This window comes from Homo sapiens, chromosome 17 (genome assembly GCF_000001405.40).
Source record: "Homo sapiens chromosome 17, GRCh38.p14 Primary Assembly".
Classification (NCBI taxonomy): Eukaryota; Metazoa; Chordata; class Mammalia; order Primates; family Hominidae; genus Homo; species Homo sapiens.
The window spans coordinates 51037389-51060698 of NC_000017.11; the positions used below are offsets into that span (position 1 = coordinate 51037389).

Below are 23310 nucleotides of genomic sequence, written 5' to 3' on the forward strand. Positions count from 1 at the left end.
TGAGGCAGGTGGATCACTTGAGGTCAAGAGCCTGGCCAACATGGCAAAACCTCGTCTCTACTAAAAACACAAAAATTAGCCAGGCACGGTGGTGGACGTCTGTAATCCCAGCTACTTGGAAGGCTGAGGCAGGAGAATCACTTGAACCTGGGAGGTGGAGGTTGCAGTGAGCCGAGATTGCACCATTGCACTCCAGCCTGGGGGACAAAGCTAGACTCCATCTCAAATAAAAAAAAAAAATTATATATATAAATAAAATAAGTAAATATATGTGTTTTATATATATATATATATATAGTGTGTGTGTGTGTGTGTGTGTGTGTGTGTGTGTGTATAAACATTTTTTTAAAAAAAGGAAAAAGAGACGGAGTCCCACTACGTTGCCCAGGCTGGTTTTGAACTCCTGGACTCAAGTGATCCTCCTGCCTTGGCCTCCCAAAGTACTCAGACTACAAGCACGAGCCACCTGTCCAGCCTATAGCACTTTTATAATATGCTCTTTAACGCAACAGCTTTGATAATTTAATATAAGGAGTTTCTTTTTATCAATTTCACTAGAAGTCCCCCGGTACGAAATTCCTGTTAATGAAGCAATACAAAACTCCTCTGCTTTCTTCTTGAACTGATCTCCAAACTCGATTTGAGGACAATCAACAGGGTGTTAGTCTCTAGGGCGTTAGTGAGACTACATGTAAACTGTGGTATTTGCACTGGCCTTGAATTAGGGTATTTTTACTAGTGGTAATCTAGGCAAGGTAAAGCATATGTATGTGAGGAAACTATAAAGAAAAGCAATTAGATGCAGAGGTCTAGAGTCCAGGGAAGAGATATGAGTTGTAGATTCAAATTTGTGAGCACTGATGCATAGATGGCATTTACAGACATGGAATTTGATCTACCCAGATTAAGTAAAAAGAAGGGCTGACGAGTACCCCAACATTTAGAGGTCCAAAAGCAGAAGAGAAACCAGCAATGGAGAAGGAATGGTGAAGAAAATCAGTGTGTGTTTGCCATGGGGAATCCTGGAAGAAAACTGAAGGAAGTATTTCAAGAAGCTGAATATATTGAAATATATAAATGCTACTAAAAGGTAAGATGAGGACTGAGAATTTTCCATTATATTTGGAACGATGGATTCTTTTGGCACCCTTGACAGAAGGCATGTTGGTGCAGTAGGTAGGACTGAAAGTCTGAGTGTGATGAAGAGAAAACCACCACTTAAACATGCTGAAGTGCTTCCCCACTTCAGGGCCTTCACAATTGCCATCTCATCTTCCTCAACACGTACTCCTCCAGACCTTTCCATGCACCTGCACATCCCCATGTCAGGATGAAAGTCATCTTCCAGAGGCTTTCTCTCATACCCTAAAATGAGTACCCATCCTTACTAATTACTCTTTAGCTTACCTTGCTTTAACAATACTTGAAGTTCTATTATTTCATTTATTTGTTTACTTGTTTGTCGATCTCCATGAGATTGTGATAAATCAAGAATATGTACAAATATTTCTTTTTAAGAACTTGTACATTTTTCTAGGTGCATCATTCCTAGAAAATCTATTAGATTATTTACAACCTCACTCACCACAGGTCTCTCACAGTGAGAAATTTGTAATACACCAACAAAGAAGGCCCATAACTTTACAATCACTGGCAAATCCCCTTATCTGCTGCTATTCTGCCACAAAGTTTTCTGTCGTTCTCTCACAGGAAATTTTCACCTTAACCTTACTTCACAGAAAAATTGTGGTAGTAACACTAACATTAATTATAAATTTACACCTTCCATTTTTTCATAATGAAGTCAAAACATGCCCTAAGATGGCTAGGTCATCCTCAATCTCAGGGGAAATGATATTTTAAATTAGAGTCTAGTCCAATTCCTGTTATACACAGAAACCAAAATGACAGGGCATGTGACATACCTGTGGCATAGCCCACAAGTGAATCCTAAACCCCTGACTTCCAGCCCTGGTAAAGTAGAAAGTTATCTAGTGAACGACAAGGGCTTAGGTGAAAAATAAAATACTGTACATCCCAACTAGTAACATGATTTACAAACTAGACTTTTGCCATTTTGTAAGCACCACCCCATTCCTGGAAATCCTTATTCATTGAGTCTTTATCTCATTCGGTGGCTCCAGTTCCAGACCAAGTAGAGAGAGACAGGGTTTTGTTTTAGAAACTCTCTGGTGAGTACCTGCCTTATACTAAGGCAAGTCCTCCTCTAGGGAGGACACGAGAAACTCCTCTGCTTAAGTCTATACTAATAATTTGTTAATCGGTTTATAAGTTGTCAATAAAGTTCTGGCATAGCCTATCAGTGGAGTAAAAAATAAAGAGAATTATAATAATCTCTTAAGGCGCACTTTTGGGTAGTATTAAAATATAGTTACCATATGGGATACTTTTTTTTGTACTAAAAGTATCCCTCCTACTTTTGTTTTGGGAAAGCACACACAGCAAGTAGGCAATTGAGAGATGAGTGTTTTGGAAAATCTATTAAACCTGCAGGAAGGCTAAAAGACCCATTGTGGTACAGAAGTAAAGAAAGAGAGAGTTGCAGCCAGGCGCAGTGGCTCACGCCTGTAATTCCAGCACTTTGGGAGGCTGAGGCGGGTGGATCACCTGAGGTCAGGAGTTCGAGGTCAGCCTGACCAACATGGTGAAACTCTGTCTCTATTAAAAATACAAAAATTAGCCAGGTGTGGTGGTGGGTGCTGTAATCCCAGCTACTTGGGAAGCTGAGACAGGAGAATTGCTTGAACCCAGGAGGAGGATGCAGTGAGCCAAGGTTGAAATGAGCTGAGATCTCACCACTGCACTCCAGCCTGAGCGACACAGCAAGACTCTGTCTCAAAAAAAAAAAAAAAAAAGTGAGAGCGAGCGAGTTGCCCAGTAACATCACTGTGGGCTAATACTGAGCACTATTAGCTTCTAACAAATTGGGGCAAGAAGGGAGAAAAGGTAAGGTAACCCCTATTGTTAAAAATGATTTTCAGTGGGAGAAAAGCTATCAAATATTTATCAACTGCTTACTGTTTTGAGCACATTTCAAAGGTCAATAGAATGATTCTGAATGCCTCTACATTCTAGAGTTGAGAGAAAGACCACTTATATTGTCCCCAAAGATTCCTTCTAACATCTAAAACAAATCATTCACTCAACAAACATGTTCTGAGTACCTATAATGTGCTAGGCACTTTTCCAAGTGCTGGGGGATACAGCAGTAAATAAACCTCATAGAATTTATGTTCTTAGGGAAGAGTCTAGAGGCAACTAAATACAGTAAATGACAGTATTTTAGAAGCATTGTTAAGAGCTATCTTTACATGCTTAGACCATGATAAGTATTATGGAGAAAAATAAAGCAGGAAAAGGAAATAAGATACATGTAACTCATTTCTACTCATTGCAGGTGGCCTGTTTCATGATGAGTTGATTTTATAAGGTAACAAAAGATCTTTTATAATCAATATGATGAATATTTCATTTTAAAAGATACAGAACTTCAAATATTCTTAAAAGTTAATTATTAGCTTATATCCACTCAGCATATATTATTGTTTATATTTATCACTTATTTGATGACAAGTTCTTGGTCAAGAACATATCTATAATTAATTTACACCACGCCTTTTTAGCTAAACATAATGCATTTTTGTAGACTGCTCTATGAAGCGGTTTTAAAGAAGGAACAGTGTGTTTGTTTTGTTTTGTTTTTCTGTAAGTGAAACCCTACTAAATTGGAAAGCCTCTAACATGAACCAAGACTTTCTGGTAATAGCGATTTTCAATTCTAATATAATTAGGTTCACTAGTTACCCTACTCTAAACTCATATAGCCTAAATCAAATAGAAATTAATTTTTGTCATTAGTATACTAATCAAGATGATATAATGCTTCACTTTTTTTCCTATATAATTTGAAATAAAATAGTAAAAAACACACTCTTTGGTAAGAGCTCATTTCCAATTTAAAAAACCAATTTTACAAACTAAATGTATACAAACAATTACATTTTACTATACTGTGGTCGTCTAGCACTTCAATTAGGATAAGAAAGTTTATGAAATATAAACTGACACAATTTCAGCAGCATAAAGCTTACCTTCAGGCTGGTATGAGAACGTGGTTGACTTAATTCCTGAAATTTCCATTGCTCAGATCCAGGGGTCTCTCCTCCTTTCTGAGCATCAGGTGTAAGCAATCCATCTCCAGCAGGTAATGGGAAAATTCCTAATGATATAGGGCGTTCTTTTCTATTTGAAGAGGGGAGAAAAAATTCGGCATTCATTTATTTTGACTTTTTATTTGCCATGACTATAAGTAATAAGCCTGGACTGCCACTGTTTTACAACCATCACTCAAAAATGACACTGTCTGCCCATCTGAATAAAACAGACTTACCAAAGAGGAAGGACAGTCTCAGTTTAGTTAGCCTCAGGAAATTAGCCTCAAGAAATCAACTAAGAAAAGTGGTAAGAAGGGTTAAGGAAATCTTAAAAGTTACTGACGAGTTCCTTGCCCAAGAAGCAGTCAGTGGTCTAGTGTGGTCTGGAGAAGAGCTGCTGCTGGGTTTTTAACCATACGTAGCTTAGCCCTAGGGAACTTGCAACCTCCTTCTTTGGAAGTGAATCCAACCCATTTCTTCCCAAATCCTCTCGCTAATCCCTGGATGTTTACTGAAGCTTCTTCAGGGTATGACTTTCCTGCCTAGAGGAAAATCAATATATTATCTAAATCAGGGCTACCTATTAAATGATGAAAAGAACTCAAAATATCTTTCTCCCCACCACCCAAGTAAGAAAGCTCTGTTTTTCTACAGAACCACTATATGAGTTCCTTTCAAGCACAGTACATATGAGAAAACCATTGTCGGTTTTTTCCAAATAAGAAGGTCAAATAATTCTATAAAAGATTACTGAATTTCCAATGCTTTGTGAGAAGTTTCAATGAACAAGAGTTACAATTTTAATACTAACAGAATTTCAACGAGAAACACATCCTTTGTTGATGCACACAAGATTCCAAATCGAAGAGCTTTTAGAGGGTGGAAACAAGCCTACTAACGGGTCATCCTGGGTCATTAACTCAAAAGTGTAGAAACTAGAAAGAAATGATACACTAAAGGTTTGGTGCCTCCTGGAATTCCTACCTCTACTGGTAAGAATGTAAGTTAGAATAAAAACAATGAGCTCATTAATTAAAGTGGGAAAATTTCAGTTTTGCTAAGTAAGTCTTTAATTCTGTAGTTCATTTTTATTCCAAGAAACTTCAGCCACTTTTGAAATGTGTCTTCACTTAATACAAAGGGTGTGTTCTTCCATTCCTAACAATCTAAAAGGACTAGTAAAACTATCCCAATGCCTTCTTAAAAATGAGGTGAAGCAAAGGGGTTGAGAGACTACATTTAGTCAAAGTTGTATGCACAAGGAAATAAAATTTAAAAACAGAACTTTGATTTAGGGGGAAAATTCAAAAGCAGGAAGGCAGTACAATAAGAGGGTAGTTTTTGTTTGTTTGTGTCTTGCTGTGTTGCCCAGACTGAAGTACAGTGGGACGATCTCGGCTCACTGCAAGCTCTGCCTCCCAGGTTCAAGCAATTCTCCTGCCTCAGCCTCCCAAGTAGCTGGGATTACAGGCATTACCACCACGTCTGGCTAATTTTTGTATTTGTAGTAGAGACAAGGTTTCACCATGTTGGCCAGGCTGGTCTTGAACTCCTGACCTCACATGATCTGCCTGCTTCGGCCTCCCAAAGTGCTAGGATTACAGGTGTGAGCCACCACACCTGGCCAAGAGGGTAAATTTTAACACCAAATCTAAGTTTGCGACTATGAGCTGCCGGGACAACCAAATGACAAAAATTAAAGTGACTAGTCAGCTACCATGTTTACACCAGTTATTCCCAAATGCTGTTCAGCAACAAAGTTTTTATAATAAGTCCATGAAAAAAGAGGCGTTATTTATTATTTCCTTAGTGCATAGATAATATAGTACCTATTGTACACATACACATTCCCATATACTATAGAACCCTGTTCTTTCTTGAAAATGACTGACCCTTATTTTAAATTACATCTTTTCTTCTTCTTTGATTTTAAAATGCCCTTTCTTTCATTAAATGATGGTGACAGTGATAAGTAGCTAGATTTCCTTTTCATATTCATTCTGGACAAAATAAAAAGTTGTCAATCTGATGTTTTCCCCCCATATTTTGTGAACCGAAAATCCAAGGGGACTAAGAGCTACTAGCTGACTTTTATTTATTTTCTAACATACCTTAATGAGTTAAGCAAAAGGTGACTGGGAATTTAATGACTGAATATAATGGAAAGCTCTCTAACTCAAAATGCAAAGACAACCAGGAAGATGATATACAGACTTCATAAGACTCCCTCACACTAATAGAAATCAAAATATAAGCCATTCATTTTCACACATAACAAATATTGAAAAAGTTTAAAACTATTGGGGGAGGGAGTCTTCTATGAATCCAAATTTTACTTTCCAAAAAGTAAACAAAATCAGTTGACAAAATCTACAATCAACAGTCAACAAAATCTACAACCCAAATTGCAAATAGAATTCCCACCTTTTTAATTTGCTTGTATCAATCATTCAGAAACTACTCTACAGGGAGGGGAGATCTCTTCAGAGACTGACAGCTATCTGTCAAGTGGGTCAATGATGCTCTAGGTTACAATGTTCCAACTCTGAAAAAATAATTACTACATACTCCTCCCCTTACTTTACTTACAAATTACATACAGTTGGGGTAAGGGAGAGAAGGACGCATAATTAGGCAAGTTCATGAGAATCCTACTTTTGAAAAGAAACCCTGAAAGGTAAACATTAGTCCAGTACTATGTTGGCATGCATTAAATGCTTCAAACTCACAGAAGAAGGAAAAAAATGAGATACACGTGGAAAACTATCAAGTGGCAGATTTATACCTGCAGACCAAAACATCTGCTATTACTTGTCTAGAAAACGAAGCTATCAACAACTATCAGAATTCTTTTTTCTTAATTGCCCTACTTCCATATATCCATTTTTGAGTTGGTTATTAAATGTTAGCTTATGTATATAAATAATTTTACAACTACATTTTTGGAACAGCTTTTTGGCTATATTCACATTTGATACAACTAATTAGTAAAATCTGCTTTATATATAAAGGCAGATAAAAGAAAAAGTACATTTGTTGAACACTCACCACGTGGTGGGTACTGAGCTAGATGACTTATTTACATTATCGCATTTAATCCTTATCAAGAAACAGGGATTATTTTTCCAATTTTTCAGAGTAGGAAAAGTGATGCTCAGAGATTTTAGGCACTAGTAATTGGCAGAGTTTCGATTCAAAGCCAGTACTGTTCAATTCCAAGCCCTTTGCTTTCCTTGGAACTTCCTACTTGGAACTACCAACTTTTTGACAATTTAATCTTAATATCAAAGACTTTGATATCTTTATTTAATCAGATCAGTAGCAATTTTTGTGGTAAAGAACTTTAAAATTTTAATTATAAGGTATTTTAGCTGTAGCTAAAACAATTTCTGCTAAAAATGGACACATATAAGTAACTGAAAATTATTTACTCAAGTAATTTACCATATATCTTACAACTATAATTAAATACAAAATAATAAAATCACTTGATTTTTAAAACCACCCAACGGGGTAAGTCCCATCAGGAGAGAAAACTCAGGCAGAGAGATTAAGCAACTTGCCAAAGCTCCTACGGCCACGTGCAATAGAGCATTTGCACCCAGGCAGTTCAATTCCAAAGCCTTGTTGTACCCACTTGCAGGCGCCGCACAGCAGCTCACGGCACTGCCCTCTCAAATGAAGCCTAAACCCAAGACATCCCCTTAACATTAGTCTTATATTAATATTCTACATATTCTTAAGTTCAGTTGCTTTTAATTTCTTCAAAGCCTAAATATACAGATACACGTACACAAATATTTTATGTACTAATATATATACAAGTAGTAAGATTATTCCCAATTTTTATAAATCAGGAAAGAAAATAAAAGACCAAGTATCTAGTTTTAAGTCATTGATGAAATTTAATTTCTGGGCTTTCAACTAATATTAAACTTGAACTGACCTATGAATAAAAAGAAACACATTAAGGGAAGTTACTACTTTAATTCTTCTTAATTTATCTAAATCTACAATTAGGGTTTAAATATTTTATAAACATTTAAATAATAAATAAAAACTATATACTATGAACTTTCATTTAAAACCATGCACAAAGCAGAAATCTGAACAAATCAGAGACTGCTAGTCTGACGGTTTAGAAAACAAAAGAAACCACAACCTTAAGCCTCTAAAATACAGAAGATGGCTCTTACAGGGTGTAAGTAGAGTGAGCAACAGTAAAGCTACAGAGATTAATGACTACCCCCACAAGCAGGCATGGATATTTGTCACCCAAGACTACAAAGAAAAGAAAGGGCAACATCTGACAAAACAATAGTGAATAGGCTTTGTAAAGCTTTCACAACTTTGATGTGTAAATAATGGGGAAAAAGGCATTCCTTAACCTAAAAGTCTTAAATTTTTTCACTTTAAAACATATTTTGTTTTAGGAGGAAAATATTTAAATTGTCAGTTCCCATGAGCTATTATCAAAAATTACAAAAATGATACCTGAAACTCTATCATTCAAAGGATAATTAAAACAAAATAAGCTTACGGCCTGTATCTAACTGACTGCAAGTCCAAGCATAAAAGATATTTGTCCCTAAATGCTCAGAAGCTAAATGCAGAGGTTGTATAAACTTGGAGCCGGTGCTCTACTCTTGCTCTTCTTTTACTTTGAACATTCTGCTTAAAACAAGACCACACTGACCTTGTACTTGTGTGTAAGTACAATATGAAAATCCTTTTCTTTAGTTAGTGGTTTCCAAACATAAAGCTATAATCCTAACTGATGGTCTATAAATTACTATAAATTAGAATCAAAAATCCTAGCTTCAGGCCATTTTCCATTGTTTCAATCTGCAACAGAAATTGTTACAAAGCAGACCCGTTGAGCTAAAAATTTAATAAAAACCAGCTAAGCAGGGGCTTCTAAGAGAGATGGGAGTACCTGAGTATCCTTGGTAGGTTCTGCGTCAGAGCTGGCACACCGGTAGAAATAGAAAAGTGCACAAGCAGCAAAACAGAGAGAGATACTAAGATAGCAGAATTAATGACCACCGCCCCGCCAACAAAGCCAAACACAAACAGCAGCATGCATCCAGGACTCATGGCGCTGTGCTGGCATGGTGAAACACCCGAACCAAGGAGGCCTACACGGGGGCCAAAGGGGTATCTTTGTAGTGAGGATCTGTCATTCAGCTTGCTGCCACAAAAACAATGCCATCAGCAGCAGCTTTCCACTCCATCCTGCAGCAGCTCCCAAGCGATGACGTCATTCCGTTCTCCCCACCTCATAACCATAGAGCTGCTGCTCCTAGCATTTATGCAGCAACCCCAAGCGACAGCCAGCCTATTAACTATTTTCCCCTCCACTAAGAGTCCTGGCTTAGCTCATTGGCTACAATGCCTGAAGATCTACATAATTTATTCACACTCCTACACCAAACAGATGGCTAGCTAACCCTTTCAAACATGCCTCTCTGTAACAAAAAGGACTTCAAACCAATTACACGGGAGAAATAAAATATTTCAGCATTCCCATAAATTACAAAATTTTAAACCTAGTATAATCTCCATCAAGTATCAGAAAACAATCTAAATACTCAATGTGCTGCTTATATGGATGGCTCATAATTTATCTTTTTAATGGTAAAAACCGTTTCTACTTTTCTGTGCTATTCTCTCCTGCAGCATTCCAACCACAGTGGAGAGCTTTTTGAATCAGCCTAACTATTGTTCCAGGATTAAAGAACAGAGAAAAACAGAAACAAACATATTATTTATTTTACTTTTTCTCAAGGCAAAATATATAACAAAGCTTACCTAATTCTACTATGAGCTGTGGATTCTAGTTGATCACTCCCTGAGAGCTGATGAAGTTTTGTTCTTTCTAAATGTTCCATATAATTATGGATCATCTATTTTAAAGAAAGAAAAAATACACAATATTTAAGGCTAATACCTGGAATAAAATCATAGTGTTATAACAAGGAAAACATTTTGGTACAATTTTCTTATCTATCAGACTACTCGATTCCAAGTAAGAGAATATTAAGGAATGAAAAAAATTTTAAGGGAAAGTAATATGCAAATGCTTACATTTAAGGATGCTGGTGTCCACAAAAGTAGCTAATATCTTGCTTAGGATGGCAAAAAAAAAAAAAAAACCCACTTTTTTTACAATATGTGATGCTATTAAAATAATATTGATATAAAGAACACAAATTAGTAAACAGACACTGGGAAAGAAGTCATAAAAGACCATTGGTTAAAAATAATAGATGGCATTTGAGAAAGCCATTCACTAAAATGAGACACAACAAAGAAATTAATGTGAAACTTCTGAAGAAACCATATCCTTATGTGCTGATCTCTTCCATTTTAAAAGGAATTAACAGAATAAAGATCACTTTCAATTTAATTAATTTAATACCAAGAAAAGTTTCTTCTTTCGGTATATTTAGTTGAAAGAATGTTAAAATACTTTCTCCTTTGACTGTTACTGGTATCATTACTTGGTATAATCATCTATTATAACAGCAGCAAATTAATACAAATGTAAAAAATTAGAATACTTTTTGAGTCTTAGATAAGGAATCATATGACAGACAAGCTGAATAAGAAAGTAAAAACTTCAAGAATATAAAGTACATAAACTGCCAAGAACTTCTAATGTCCTATTTGATTCTTGATAATATATAGTTTCACTTTTAAAAAGCCTAAATTTGGAATTAAGACATAAAATCAAAAGGCCTTTGCTAGAGATACTAACATGATATGAATAAGAAAAAAATGAATTTTAAAAAACAAGAAATAGTGTGTTAGTATTTAAAGGGTGTAAATATTAAGAGGCAAGCAAAGGTTGATGTCTTTCTTGGGAATATTACTTGAATTCTTTTTTTTTTTAATGTCCCTTCTCACCATTCCTAAGGAATATTACTTGAATTCTTAACGCTGTACATAGAATAGCTTTGGAAGTCACTAAACTTTAGCTGTATTAAGATGCATTTCAATCTCTTTATAACTTAAAATATGCACTGTAGCATATTAAGTAACAAAATAAAATTTTTAAAAAGTTTAAATTCACTTTACAAAGCTTGCTTTTGTTGTAGAAATTTTATTTGGCATGTACAAATATTAGGAAATGTAAGTTAATTTTAAGATGTTATTTATCATCAAATAAACAAAAAGCTGAACTCTGATGCATGAAATAAAACAAATTAACCAGACTGTTCCTCAATGAAGACTAGTCCAAACAACAAATGTTATCCACAAAGAATGAAAACAGAATCACATGAATATAGTATCTTAAAATTTTTTAATTGACATACTTTTTATTTTAAATTTATAGATTTTACCACCATTTACACAACAGTTTTGGAGAAATACACCTTTCATCTATCAGCAAGTCAGAAATAATGAGCTTCCTTGTGTCAGGAAGAATTTTCAGGAACAAAAATCAAACTGAAACTAATATAACAAAGTGACTGTCAGGCTTAATCAATCTCAATTTAAATTTTCAAAAGGTTTTAGAAGGCCTAAATTAAGGCTTTGCAGTGGCTCACGCCTGTAATCCCAGCACTTTGGGAGGTAGGAGGTTTGCTTGAGGCCAGGAATTTGAGATCAGCCTGGGCAACACAGCAAGACACCAGCTCTAGAAAAAAAAATACAACAACTAGCAGGCACTCGCCTATAGTCCCTACTGCTCAGGAGGCAGAAGTGGGAGAACTGCTTGGACCCAGAAGTTCAAGGCTGCTGTGAGCTATGATCATGCCACTGCACTCCAGCCTGGGCAACAGAATGAGACCCCTCAAAAAAAAAAACCACTTTAAAAATAAAAGAGGTCAGGTGCAGTAGCTAATGCCTGTAATCCCAGCACTTTGGGAGGCTGAGGTGGGAGGACTGCTTGAGCCCAGGAGTTTGAGACCAACCTGAGCAACACAGGGAGACCCTGTCTCTACAAAAAAATTTTTAAAAATTAGCTGGGTATTTTGGGATGCGCCTGTAGTACCAGCTACTTGGGAGGCTGAGGTGGGAAGATCGTTTGAGCCAGGGAGATCAAAACTGCAGTGAACCATGAGTCTCACTCTGTCGCCCAGGCTGGAGTACAGTGGCGCGATCTCGGCTTATTGCAATCTCTGCCTCCCACATTCAAGCGATTCTGCCTCCCAAGTAGCTGGGTACTACAGGTGCCCGCCACCACACCCAGCTAATTTCTGTATTTTTAGTAGAGACGGGGTTTCACCATGTTGGCCAGGCTGGTCTCAAACTCCTGACCTCAAGTGATCCACCCGCCTTGGCCTCCCAAAGTGTTGGGATTACAGGTGTGAGCCACGGCGCCCAGCCGTGAATTCTTATATACACTGGATAGTAAAGTAATTGTATGTATGGGATTGATTTGTTCAAATGGAGGACCTAAGTTTCCTTAAGCATTCAGATGAAGAAAACAAACTCACCCCAGATTGCTGTATAGTAATCTATGAACTCAATATAGAAAAAGAATGACAAGCAAAATGCAAAAATAGTTCTCCCCCAATAGCCATTCTACAGACTGATTCTCTATTATCTTATTCTAAACTTTCTTTTAATGACTAGTCCAATGTAATTACAGATATAGTATTCTGACATTCCAAAATTATCTATATAATGAAATCAATTCTAACTCAACCAAACTAGCACTTTAAAGGAAAGAACTGACAACCAAAAATGACTGAGGGGGAAAAGAAAAGAGAGAACAATAACAACAAAATGGCAGCTATTATTTATTGAGCACCAATTATAAGTCAGTCAGTGCAGTTACAGCCATTTTTTCTCCATTTAATCCTCACCATATCATGATTTCATAGGTAAACTCCAAGTTGATTGTCTGGTCAATGACTAACTTTTCAAGTTGTCACTAGCTTTGGGGCCAGAACTCTGGCCTGCCTGACTCAGTCATCTGAGTTATTAAGAATTACAGGACTCAGGCCGCCTTTGTACTTAATTCTCTGAGCAGGCAATGAGCCCATTGTCCTTTCTTCCTCATACCCACAAGAAAATCCCATACCCTAAAGCATTTCCTGATGTCTGGAATAAAATGATATGCACTATAGTCTATAAACACACAAAAAAGAACAAAAATTATACATAACAATTTAAATATTAATAAGGCCTCACAGTATCACTCAGGTTAAAAAAAAAAAAAGTGAGTGGGAGGGAGCACCAGTGTTGTTAGACAGAAAAGAGAAGTGAGAAAGTAAAATAGGACACGCTTCAGATAATCTATTCTTGGGTCCACCAGGTCCATTGCTTCTGGTCTCAGAACTGCAATTCTCAATTTTCTCAGGTATGCATATTAATTCACACATTCAGGAGTCAATTCAGCAATAAACAACTGAAGAGAGAGAGAAAAAGAGAGGAAGGAAGAAAGGAAAGAACGAAGGGAGGGAGGAAAGGGAAGGAAGGAAAGAAAGAAAAGAAAGGAAGAAAGAGAATTTAAAAATAAAAAAAAAACAAAAAGAAAAAGAAAGAAGGGAGGGAGGGAGGGAAAAGAAAAATGTCTAGTGGAACTAAAGGTGTAGTGTGTTTTTTTGTTTTGTGACGGAGGCTTGCTCTGTCACCCAGGCTGGAGTGCAGTGGCACAATCTCAGCTCACTGCAACCTCCACCTCCTGGTTCAAGCGATTCTCCTGACTCAGCCTCCCAGGTAGCTGGGATTACAGGTGCCTGCCACCATGCCTGGCTAATTTTTGTATTTTTAGTAGAAATGGAGTTTCACCATGTTGGCCAGGCTGGTCTTAAACTCCTGACCTCAGATAATCCCCCCACCTCGGCTCCCAAAGTGCTGGGATAACAGGCGTGAGCCACTGCACTCGGCCAAGGTGTTAGTGTTATTAAAAGTTCAGGGAGACTGGGTGCTGTGGCTCACACATGTAATCCCAGCACTTCGGAAGGCCGGGACGGGCAGATCACTTGAGGCCAGGAGTTTAAGACCAGCCTGGACAACATGGTGAAACCCAGTCTCTACTAAAAATACAAAAAGTAGCCGAGCGTGGTGGCATGTGCCTATAGTCCCAGCTATTCAGGAGGCTGAGGTGGGAGAATCACATGAACCCTGGAGGCGGAGGTTGCAGTGGGCCGAGATCACGCCACTGCACTCCAGCCTGGGCAACACAACGAGACTCCCTCTTAAAAAAAAATCAGGCAATAGAATCTGACAAACCTGGCTTCAAATCTAGTCACTAACTAGCCTAGAATTTGGGGCAAATCATTTTATAGACTCTTTCTAAACCTCAATCTGTAAAATGGGAATGGATGAGAATTTGGTCAAAGGATAAAATGAGAATGCATTCAAACACTCCCTGATGTGAGACTCTCCCAAGATTCCAAAGGGCTAAAGTTTTTGGTGATTAGCATACACATGTGGGCCCGAGTGCTTCAAAATTGTCCTTTATATTTCTTCCACTGCCCTCTTTAAGGCATGTCTTTTAAGCAAATTCAGTAATGTATACAAAAATTTGATTTAAGAATAGTTGACTATTTAAATTTAAGAATAGTTATTCTTAAATCAAATTTTAAAAAGCCACGGTAGGTTTCCCTTAAGCAACAATGAATGTGTTTCATAAAAGTGCTAAACAACTATTAAAAGACATTATCTTCTTTGGAAATAATAGTGAAAAGGTTAAGGTTAAACCCCTTCAGGCTTCCTTTCCCTGAATGTTTTCAGAGTTTATGTTTTAAGGGCGCCTAGTTCTTTGGCTTTAGATAGCTATTTATAATTGCTAATTGAATGACATCTCTAGAACAGATGTATAAACAGAAAAAATTGTGGGCTAGAGCAGAACAGACCCACATTTCAAAGCAGCCCTATATATGTTACATAAACCTTCCTTCCTTGAGGCAAAACAAAATATAGGGAGCCTATCAGGTCAGAGGATAGAAGCTGCTCATAACTGAGGGAGGAGATCTATGAAAAGAGCTTTTGGGCGGCGTGGGAAATCTGCCTTGGTTACTGGACAGACCTAGCTCTCTGACTTGGTAATTAAAATTTTTCCTGAGATCTTTTTTTCTTCCTAGACTATCTTTTCCTCAAGGAATAGAAATAGACAAAAAAAAAAAAGTATATGTTTTCATTTAAAATTAGTATGTCAGGCTTCTTTATAGAAGCGTATCTTCACCTTTATTAAATATATGGAAAAAATATGAAATTTCACTTTACCGTTATTTTTAAAGAATGTATATATTTTAGGCCAGGCATGGTAGCTCACGCCTGTAATCCCAGCTCTTTGGGAGGCCAAGGTGGGTGGATGACTTGAGGTCAGGAGTTCGAGATCAGGCTGGCCAACATGGTGAAATCCCATCTCTATGAAAAATGCAAAAATTAGCCGAGCGTGGTGGTGCACTCCTGTAATCCCAGCTACTTGGGAGGCTGAGGTGGGAGAATTACTTGAACCTGGGAGGCAGAGGCTGCAGTGAGCCAAGATCACTCCAGCCTGGCGACAGAGCAAGACCCCATCTCAAAAAACAAAAAAAAGTATGTATTTTATATTTTATACTTTAATATAGCATAATTTAATAATTTTCAATTATTAAAAAAGATTAGAGCTTCATTTTAAAAACAAAAACGTTGTTTATTATTTATCACTATCAATTACTTCCCCCAAATATATTTATAATATATTTATAAAATTATAAATTATAAATTTATCAATTATAATGGATACAGTGGCTCACACCTATAATCCCAGCACTTTGGGAGGCCAAGGTAGGAGATCACTTGAGCCCAGGAGTTCCAGACCAGCCTGGGCAACATAGTGAGACCTTATCTCTACAAAAAATAAAAATGAAATAAACATTTTAAAAATTGGCGTGCACTGGCCAGGAGCGGTGGCTCACGCCTGTAATCCCAGCACTTTGGTAGGCCAAGGCAGATGGATCACGAGGTCAGAAGTTTGAGACCAGCCTGACCAACACGGGAAAACCCCACCTCTACTAAAAATACAAAAATTAGCCAGGCGTGGTGGCACACTCCAGTAATCCCAGCTACTCAGGAGGCTGAGGCAGGAGAATCGCTTGAACCCAGGAGGCGGAGGTTGCAGTGAGCTGAGATCAAGCCACTGCACTCCAGCCTGGGTGACAGAACGAGACTCCATCACACACAAAAAAAAAAATTGGCATGCACGTGTGTGGTCCCAGCTACTTGGGAAGCTGATGTGGGAGGACTGCTTGAGCCCGGGAGGTTGAGGCTGCAGTGCGCTATGACTGCGCCACTGCACTCCAGCCTGGGAAACAGAGTGAGACCCTAATTAAAAAAAAAAAAAAAAAAGTATATATATATATATATATATATATATATATATATATATATATAAAACATATATGTATTTATAATTATCAGCTTTAATAAGTACTACTTAAGCAAACAGTACATAGAGTACATTGTTTAGGCACTGAGATGAATGATGTGAAAATCAGTAACAGGCCTTTTAGCAACCTTAATATCTTAATATCCACCAAATGCCATTAAATCTTAATATCCACTAAAATTAAACCTTAATGGCTAACAAATGTCATTAAAATGTGAGGGCTTTTTTTTTTTTTTTTTTTTTTTGGAGACAGGGTCTGTTGCCCAGGCTGGAGTGTAGTGGCACAATATTGGCTCACTGTATCCCCTACCTCCTGGGCTCAAGTGATCCTCCCACTTCAGCCTCCTGAATAGCTGGGACTAAAGGTGCAGGCCACCATGCCTGGCTATTTTTGTATATATTTTTTTTGGTAGAGTCGGGGTTTCACCATGTTGCCCAGGCTGGTCTCAAACTCCTGGGCTTAAGTGATCCGCTCACCTTGGCCTCCCAAAGTGCTAGGATTACAGGCATGAGCCACTGCTCCCAGCCAAAATGTGGGTTTTTTTGGCTTTTTTTTTTTTGAGACGGAGTCTCGCTCTCTTGCCCAGGCTGGAGTGCAGTGGCGTGATCTCGGCTCACTGCAAGCTCCGCCTCCTGGGTTCACACCATTCTCCTGCCTCAGCCTCCCGAGTAGCTGGGACTATAGGCTCCCTCCATGATGCCTGGCTAATTTTTCGTATTTTTAGTAGAGACGGGGTTTCACCGTGTTAGCCAGGATGGCCTCAATCTCCTCACCTCATGATCCACCCACCTCGGCCTCCCAAAGTGCTGGGATTACAGGTGTGAGCCACCGCACCTGGCCAAATGTGGGTATTTTTTACCACTGAAAAAGCTGCTGTATAACCTGCTCCTGTCTTCCCTGAGCTCTATGGTTCAAGCCCTTCATGGACCATCCTTTCCATCTGCTACTGGATATCAATTCTGTGATACTTCATGCTTTGGGTATGGTTATTAAGCTAAGATTGTAATAATCAAATCTCACGTGTCAAGGCTAACAGGGAAAAATTCTACACCCTACCCCAAGAAAGTGCTAACCACATTATTCAAATGCAATGTGTGGTGGGGTTTTCTGTTCCTTAAAAGCAATGGCTAGTATTAAAACATTTTTTTAAATAAATAAATAAACAGCAACGTCCAGGCACACTGGCTCACACGTGTAATGCCAGCACTTTGGGAGGCCGAGGTGGGTGGATTGCCTGAGGTGAGGAGCTCAAGACCAGCCTGGCCAACGTGGAGAAACCTTGTCTCTACTATATTAAAAATACAAAAGTTAGCCGGGTATGGTGGCACACACCTGTAATCCCAGTTACTTGGGAGGCTGAGGGAGGAGAATCGCTTGAACCCAGGAGATGGAGGTTGCAGTGAGCCGAGATTGCGCCACTGCACTACAGCTTGGGCAACAGAGCAAGACTCTCTCTCTCACACACACACACACACAAGCAACAACAGAATATAGCTACAATATAATAATGTAAATACAATCTTTGTAGCATTAATATGCTTACTGTATACAGAATACAATCTGTGTGGATATTCTCCAAAACATGATTTTAAATTGTTTTATGATTATAGATTATAAAGGTTTTTATACTCTTCTAAAGAAAAACAACAACATAGTTTCTACCAGACGCAGGATAAGAGATCACACAAACTAGGGAGAAAAAAAAACAAACAAAAAAACGGGCTAAGACTGGAACCATATGTATCATGGGAAATATAGGACTAGCAAGGGGAAAGAGAGAGGAATTATTTTTTTCATGTAACAAATATTGTATAAAACTATAAAAATTATATTTATCTGGGTATGTGAAACCCAGACTGACCATGACATACAAAAATAATTTTCACATTAAGATAACAGAAACAAAAGCAACATGAAAGGCTGACAGGGAATCATAAAAAGGTTAAAAAACCCTCAAGTACATTTTCTAATTTCCTTTGAGGAGACTGTGCTGAAACTGTTAATTTAAAATACTGAAAACTCATGCAAAAAACCTACTTTTGAGTTATTTTAACACATTATAATTTGTGCTTATATTATTTGTTATGAGCTTAATGCAAATAAGTCCTTTACAATGGATAATAGATGTAGAGACCCTTTACCAATAACTTACCAATCCATAATTTCCAAACTCATAAAAAAACAAATCAGTTCTCTCATCTAAGCATCACAGAAACTTCATTATGTGCACATAGGTTTTTGCTTAGCCAGCCAAGGAGAGAAGTACTATAGCTGCCTTAAATAACTAAATTATTCTGTAGCATACTAATTCACCCCATGAAAAGCTAATTCCAAGAAAAGTTGACATTTGGTAACTAGGTAAATGCCACATGAAATTTAATGTTTTCTTGAAAGAATCCCCAAGAATTATTCTTTTTTAAAAAATTCTGATTTTCAAAGAAAAATTAAGACATATTTTCTAAGGTTCATTTCTTTGTCTCAATAATAGCATGGTAATGAAAAACCTAGAAACCCACCTCAGTGTGTCTTTGATGTAATGCATTATATTCCTTCTTCAGTTCTGCTTCTCTTTCTTCAAGTCTGCTAACTGAAATTAAGATACATACACTTGATCAAAACAAAATAAGAAATTTACTTGAAAAAGTACATGTTAGACTCAGAATGGGCTATCCATAATCCTTAGCAACTTTCAGACTCAGTGTTCCATATGCAAGTCTTCACAAAGCAGTGACCTCATTTCATTATCCTTAATAATGAAAACTTTCAGACGAGCGGAATACCTTAGATTGGTTCTCTAATATTCCTATATTTATCAGGTCATCCCCCTAAACAGTTTTTTTTTTAACATGATACAGAATTAACTCTTTCAAAAACACAAATCACCTCATCAAAGTTTTAAACTGGGATTAGGGCCCAAATAATGTATTTCCAACACTACTCAAGCTCTTTAGCACTGGCAGTTTGTGAAAGTTGATTGTTTATAAGTACTTTTTCTGCTTCAGGTCTCCTCAATTTCAGGGACTCATCTTCTTTTATTTAGCTCCCTCTGCTGATGGGTTTTGTGAGTGGCACTGACTTGAGGTAGTGCTCACAGAGTACAACTTCAGGATATTTAAAAAAAAAAAGTTTTATTAATAGATCCTGAGATACAGAATGTCAGGACAGGATTCCACAGGAAAGAATAACTGATAGCAAAGAGGAATGATTCAGGGAGGAGGTGGTGTCCACACAGAACCACAAAGGAAGAAATTACAGTACTCAAGACAGATGGTAATGAGAGCATTCCTGACACTGTTACCACAGAGAAGGGAACACAAAACCATGCCTGTGGTGAGGCAGAGGGTGGTGGTGAGGCAGAGGGGAGACTGGCCAGACTGGAGGAGCCCATACTTGGCTAAGGAGCAGTGGGAGACAGTCTGGGGAGAAATAAAGCTGGTGCTAGAGGAGTTTATCAGGGTACTCATTTAGTCTGTTGGAAAGCCTTAGCATAGTTGAAAATGTTCCCTGGGTTTAAGGGTCAGCTGGCCGCAAACAGGCAAGGCTGTGTGTAATCTACAACTGGTGACTGTGGAGGACAGCTGTAGAAGGAACTAGTATGAACTAATATTCTGACAGCAGATAAATGAATGTTTTATATGCCTCCTAGTATTAACACACCAGACACCAAACAAAACATACCTTGTGCTGCCCAGAAAATTCATTTTGGGTTTGTGTACCTTTACTTGCCATAATTTGTTTAAATATCTTGAAAATATGTGATTAGGAAAACTGTAGCTGTCTTTGTTTTGATTTGTTTCTAATTCAAGCTTATGTGTCGCTGGCTCATTACATTTGCACCAGAGAGCAAACACACACTACAGTACCCACGGAGCACATTTTATCATGCCACACAAGTGTTGAATACATCTGCTGCTCATCTTATCCTGTGGCTGAAAGCGATAATAAGCAAATTTATTATGCAGATGTGTTGTGATAAAATAATAGATGCTAAAACCACAAATTAATTTTTAATAAAATTTAATTCTATGATTTTTATTTAAAAACAGGAAATCCAAGCAAATTATGGATATTTAATAATTTCAAAATAAACATTTTCTACTACTTGTCATTTAAACTGATTAAAAGCTTAAAGGAATTCTGAGACTACTGGACAAACCATATCTATTTTCAATTGTTCATCTTTTTGAATCATTATTTTCTTGATAATGTGCAACAAAAACAAAAATTGGATGCTGAGGCTGAAATAAAATCCAACTATCATTCATAATCCTCAATTTCAAATTTGTGCTCAATAGTAGAGCCTTATTATTCTTGTCAGCTGATATAAATTCATAAATAAATTTGTATCACCAACACCACCACTACTAATAGCAGCCAACAACATCAAGTGCTTACTATGTACCATACAGTCCTAAGAACTGCATATAAACTAACTTATTTGAGCCTAACATTAACCTTACGATGAAAGTATTATTATTACATCCATGGTAGAGATGAGGAAACTGAAGCAAATAGGAGCTAAGTAACTTGCCCAAAGTCACACAGATAGAAAATGGCAAAGCAAGGATTCCTATCAGAATCTGGCTCCAGAATCTGTGTTCTTAATTACCATGCTATACTGCTTCTCAGCAAATACTCATTTTAATCTGTTTTGTATATTGGAGTTTACTTTAAGATATCACTTTGGGCAGAGGGGAGTATGCTTCAAACAAAAAACTCCTCTGTTCTTACAGAAACAACCCATTCACAGATACTTTGATACAAAGGGCATCAAACTGCCAAGCAAAATGTGTACCCAAGTCAGGGAGATGCACATTAAAACCAAAATGCAACACCACCATGCTTCTGAATGGCTACAGTGAAAAACACAACACACCAAGTGCCAGTATGGATGTGGAACTACTGGAACTTTCATAAACTGTGGTGTATGGTTTCATACACCGTAACTTGGTATGCCCAATTTAAGAACTGTTTGGCAAGATTTAGTTAAGTTTCGAATGTTTGCCAACCCTATCACAAAACAATGTCATTGCTAGAAAGCCTATATATATGTCCACCCAAAGGTATTTAAAACAATGTTCAAAGAAGCACAATCTGAAAACAATCCAACTGTCCATCAAGAGTAGAATGGATAAATATTCATGTACTGGAATACTGTACAACGTGAATAAACAAATTATTGCCACACACAACATCATGGACCAATAGCACAAATATGATATTGAAGGAAAGAAGCAGAAACAAAAGAATACAAAATTCAAAGACATAACACAAAACTAATCTGAAATGTTACAAGTCAGGATAGTAGTTACCTCTGGGGAGGAGTCAGTGATCTGATGTATTTATGCCTGTATAGCCCCAGCCCACCTCAGTTCAAACACGATGTGCATCCATTCACACAGGCACTTTCCTCTGCTTGAATACTCATTCTTCCTTATGTTATCCTACAATGGCTATGAGTTCAACATGTAGAATGGGATTTAAACAAACTATTCAGAACCATAACAAACAAGCTTTATTGCTCTGACTGTAGCATTCTCAGGGAGAGAACAAAAATGTTACCGAATAGACTGGATAAAGAAAATTTGGTGGGTCACGCCTGTAATCCCAGCACTTTGAGAGCCGAGGTGGGCGGATCACAAGGTCAGAAGTTCGAGAACAGCCTGGCCAACATGGTGAAACCCCATCTCTACTAAAAATACAAAAACTAGCTGGGCGTGGTGGTGCATGCCTATAATTCCAGCTACTTGGGAGGCTGAGGCAGGAGAATCGCTTGAACCCAGGAGGCAGAGGTTGCAGTGAGGCAGAGGTTGCAGTGAGACAAGATTGCGCCACTGCAACTCCAGCCTGGCGACAGAGTGTGACTCCATCTCAAAAAACAAACAAACAAACAAACAAACAAACCAAAAACCAGAATCTCACCACTTTTACCACCTTCATCACTCTCACTTTGACCCAAGACATCATCTCTTGCTTAGGTTATTACAATAATAATCCTAGTCTCCTGACTAGTTTCTCTACTTAGTCTTTGTTCCCTACATTCTCAAAATAGAGATGGAATCAAACAGTGACTAACCGCTCAAAACTTCAAAGCTTCCGATCTCATTTTTAAAAGGAAAAAAAAATTCTTACAATGGTCTGTAAGACTTTTCTGGATCTGATTGTCAAGTCACAACACTCTTTGCTTCCCATCCCCACAGAGAACTCTTATCTCCTGACCTATTATGGACTGAATTGTGCTCCCTCACCCCCCAAATTCATAGGTTGAAGCTCTACCTCCCAATATGACTGCATTTGGGGGATAGGGCCTTTAAGAAGATAATTAAGGGCCGGGCGAGGTGGCTCACACCTGTAATCCCAGCACTTTGGGAGGCCGAGGCAGGTGGATTACCTGGGCAAGAGTTCGAGACCAGCCTGGCCAACATGGTGAAACCCTGTTTCTACTAAAAATACAAAAATTAGCCAGGCGTCATGGCAAATAGCAGTAATCCCAGCTACTCGGGAGGCTGAGGCAGGAGGATCGCTTGAATCTGGGAGATGGAGGTTGCCGTGAGCTGAGACTGTACCACTGCACTCCAGCCTCGGTGACAGAGCGGGACTTTGTCTTTTTAAAAAAAAAAAAAAAAAAAAAAGGCAGAAGAAGGTAGGTAATTAAGGTTGAATGAGGTCATTAAGGTGGGGCCCTGATCCAACAGGGCTGGTATCCTTATAACAGCAAGAGATAGGCAAAAGGCCATATTAGGACACAGAGGTAAAGCAGCCACCTGCAAGCCAAGGAGAAAGGCCTCAGGAGAAACCAAATC

The 23310-nt window shown here is 37.9% G+C and overlaps 1 protein-coding gene across 10 annotated transcripts in view; it reads right to left on the reverse strand.

Moving 5' to 3' along the window:
- SPAG9 (sperm associated antigen 9) overlaps window positions 1-23310 on the reverse strand; it is a 158695-nt gene that overhangs the window by 75215 nt on the left and 60170 nt on the right. For 6 of the 10 annotated variants that reach the window (NM_003971.6, XM_005257771.4, NM_001130527.3 and 3 more), the window contains 3 exons: window positions 19024-19094; window positions 9987-10081; window positions 4113-4263 (listed from right to left, as the gene is read on the reverse strand). In NM_003971.6, coding sequence (NP_003962.3) covers window positions 4113-4263; window positions 9987-10081; window positions 19024-19094 — 317 coding nt within the window. Of the gene's footprint in view, window positions 1-4112; window positions 4264-9111; window positions 9491-9986; window positions 10082-19023; window positions 19095-23310 lie in introns of those variants that run through there. The other 4 variants (XM_005257774.5, NM_001251971.2, XM_017025284.3 and 1 more) reach the window with 1 other exon arrangement.